Here is a 2,610-nt window from a genome sequence, read left to right as displayed (position 1 = left end):
TAAATATTTCATTCAGTAATTAATTTCACAGTATTTGGCATAGCATGCTAGTTTGTAATTACGTAAACAGACTGTCTTTAAAATTACAATAATACACTGAATATTATATATATAAAATAAAAAACATATCCATAATTACTTAAAATAATAAAGGTTGATAACTGTAATTATTTTAATATAATCTCTGATATTATAAATAGTTTGCATTTTAATGCTGCTCATAAACATTTTCCATTAAATATCATTTTTGTTTGGGTAAAATATTTCTTATGAATCTCAGGTAAGGAGATGAGTTTTATTCAAAAGTGCTAAATTGAAATAGTGGGGAGAGTGGCAACTCATAGTGTCTTCATCATGGACATTCTCTTTTTCTTTATTGATATCCCTTGTAGCTTCTGATATCATTGTCAAATCATGTTTGTTCTACTATCTGACATTATTTTTTATCATTTTTTTAGTAAAAATTATCTCTCTTCTCTCTCTCCCCCCACTACACACACACACACACACACACACACACACACACCCCTTCTCAAGTCACAATTTTAAACATATTATCATACTACTTGCTCTGTGTCAGAAAAAAACTTTCAGCTTAGATTCAGCTTAATGGCATAACTTATAAATACATCTCACAATTCAATAATAGTTAAGGATTATTGTGCAAACACAAATAGTTGCTATGATTAATATAAGTCTAGCTTTAAAATAAAAATTAGAAGTGATTTTGATTTTCAAATTTCAGACAGTAATATTATGTAATATATTTATATAATTCATGATGCTTTCCAAATTTATTATCAAGAAAACAAATTTTACATAGAAACTACAAAAAACATAAAATAACAAACTACATGTTTCTTAATCTATCCCTACAATAACCAGACTGCTTTTTTTCCCCCCCTAGAGAAATGCTTCCTGAAACATTTCTATTGAAGTTCCATAACACAACCCAAGTTTTGTGGTGGAACATTCAGCTCTTTATGTTGTTAACTAGTCGAAATGAATGTATTAAGAGGAGAACAGTTTCTCTCTGTTTGGAGACCTGGAGCTAACTCTTTGTTAGCATATTCCCTTCCACTCAGTAAATCTACACCAGTGGTGGAGAGGTTAGAATCTGAATTGTCAGAGCTTATGTTTTGATTAGGTGGCATTTATAATTGAGTGATATTACTTGTTCTAAAAGAAAAATTATAATGCTATGTTGTATGGCCTCCTCAAGGCCATACCGTCCCTCTCAACGTTGGCAATCTATAAAATGCAGGGAAACATGAATAGTCTGGGGCAGCACTGAGGACAGAGTAAAAGGCCATCCTTAGTCTTTTTTAATTTTTTTTTTTTTGAGATGGAGTAGGAGTCTCGCTCTGTTGCCCAGGCTGGAGTGCAATGGCCCGTTCTCTGCTCACTGCAACCTCCGCCTCCTGGGTTCAAGCAATTCTCCTGCCTCAGCTTCCCAAGTAGCTGGGATTACAGGTGCCTGCCACAACCTGGCTAATTTTTCTATTTTTAGAACAGAGGGGGTTTCACCATGCTGGCCAGGCTGTTCTTGAACTCTTGACCTCAGGCGATCCACCCGCCTAGGCCTCCCAAAGTGCTAGGAATACAGGCGTGAGCCACCGTGCCTAGCCATCATTAGTCTTGAAACCTAAAGCTGACAAGAATATTTGAGCAGGCATAATGAATTTGCAAGTTATCTTCTTTTTGCTATTATTATCTAAATTGTGTGGCAGTAGTAGGTGTCAGCATTAAGACATGATCCATGCATTCACAGTCTCATAGAAGTAACAACATTCTCTAGCACCCAAACTTCAAACTTAACCCATTTACAGTAGTTTCAAAATACTAAGTGTATCTTTTAACCTTATTATATTGGCTGATTATTTTCCCAATTTTGAAGAGAGTCCTGTTTATACATATGTGTATGTTTATAAAATATGAATTTAACAATTTTAAGTTATAGTATAGTTTATACTATAAATATCTATACACATTGTAATAGAGTTTATATTTTTATTTTAAAACACCTCACCTCATATCTCTTTAAGCACATGCTCTGGCAAAAGAGGGCAAAGTCTCTTAGAGTTATCAGTCCCTTCAAAGGCCAGGCTATAAAGATAATGGTGACATAAAAATAAGAGGTGTCATGGAAAGTTTAGTGTGTTTAAATTTACTACCAGCAATTTTAAAGCAGAAATTTAACTCCTCTTCCTGAGTTATGAGCAGAGAGCTAAAAATATACCTGTTAGATCAAGAACAAACGTTGTTTAAAGCTGACTGTAAAGGCTTCTCCTGATCCTGTAGCCTGTTGGTTAAAAACTGGGAATTGCTGCTTCCAGGGGATATGAAAGCACATTATCCAGTGTACAATGGGAAATCCATTCTTATTTACACTCCAGGAAGAAAATGTATTCTTACAATCAAAAGATTTTAAATGACACTCCCATCACCGAGTAAGCTGGCTCTGGTGATAACATATATCCAGAGTTCTTGGGTAAGATGGGTGAGATCAAAAGATAGAGAATTGCAGCATCAAGTGGCACTTACATTAAGAAATATTGTAAGCAGAAAGTGTTCTCTGAGAAATCAAGTGATAAACACACTAAAGAGAAG

The 2,610-nt window shown here is 34.4% G+C and overlaps 1 annotated feature.

Annotated features, from left to right (window-relative positions):
- Positions 1,595-1,795: a silencer, noted in NCBI's record as "peak575 fragment used in MPRA reporter construct". NCBI's record gives its function as "represses an SCP1 promoter by STARR-seq MPRAs in K562 erythroleukemia cells {active_cell/tissue: K562}" and the evidence as "EXISTENCE:reporter gene assay evidence [ECO:0000049][PMID:32103011]".

The sequence above is a fragment of the Homo sapiens genome, chromosome 1 (genome assembly GCF_000001405.40).
Source record: "Homo sapiens chromosome 1, GRCh38.p14 Primary Assembly".
Lineage (NCBI taxonomy): Eukaryota > Metazoa > Chordata > Mammalia > Primates > Hominidae > Homo > Homo sapiens.
This window is presented reverse-complemented; position numbering and strand designations above follow the sequence as displayed.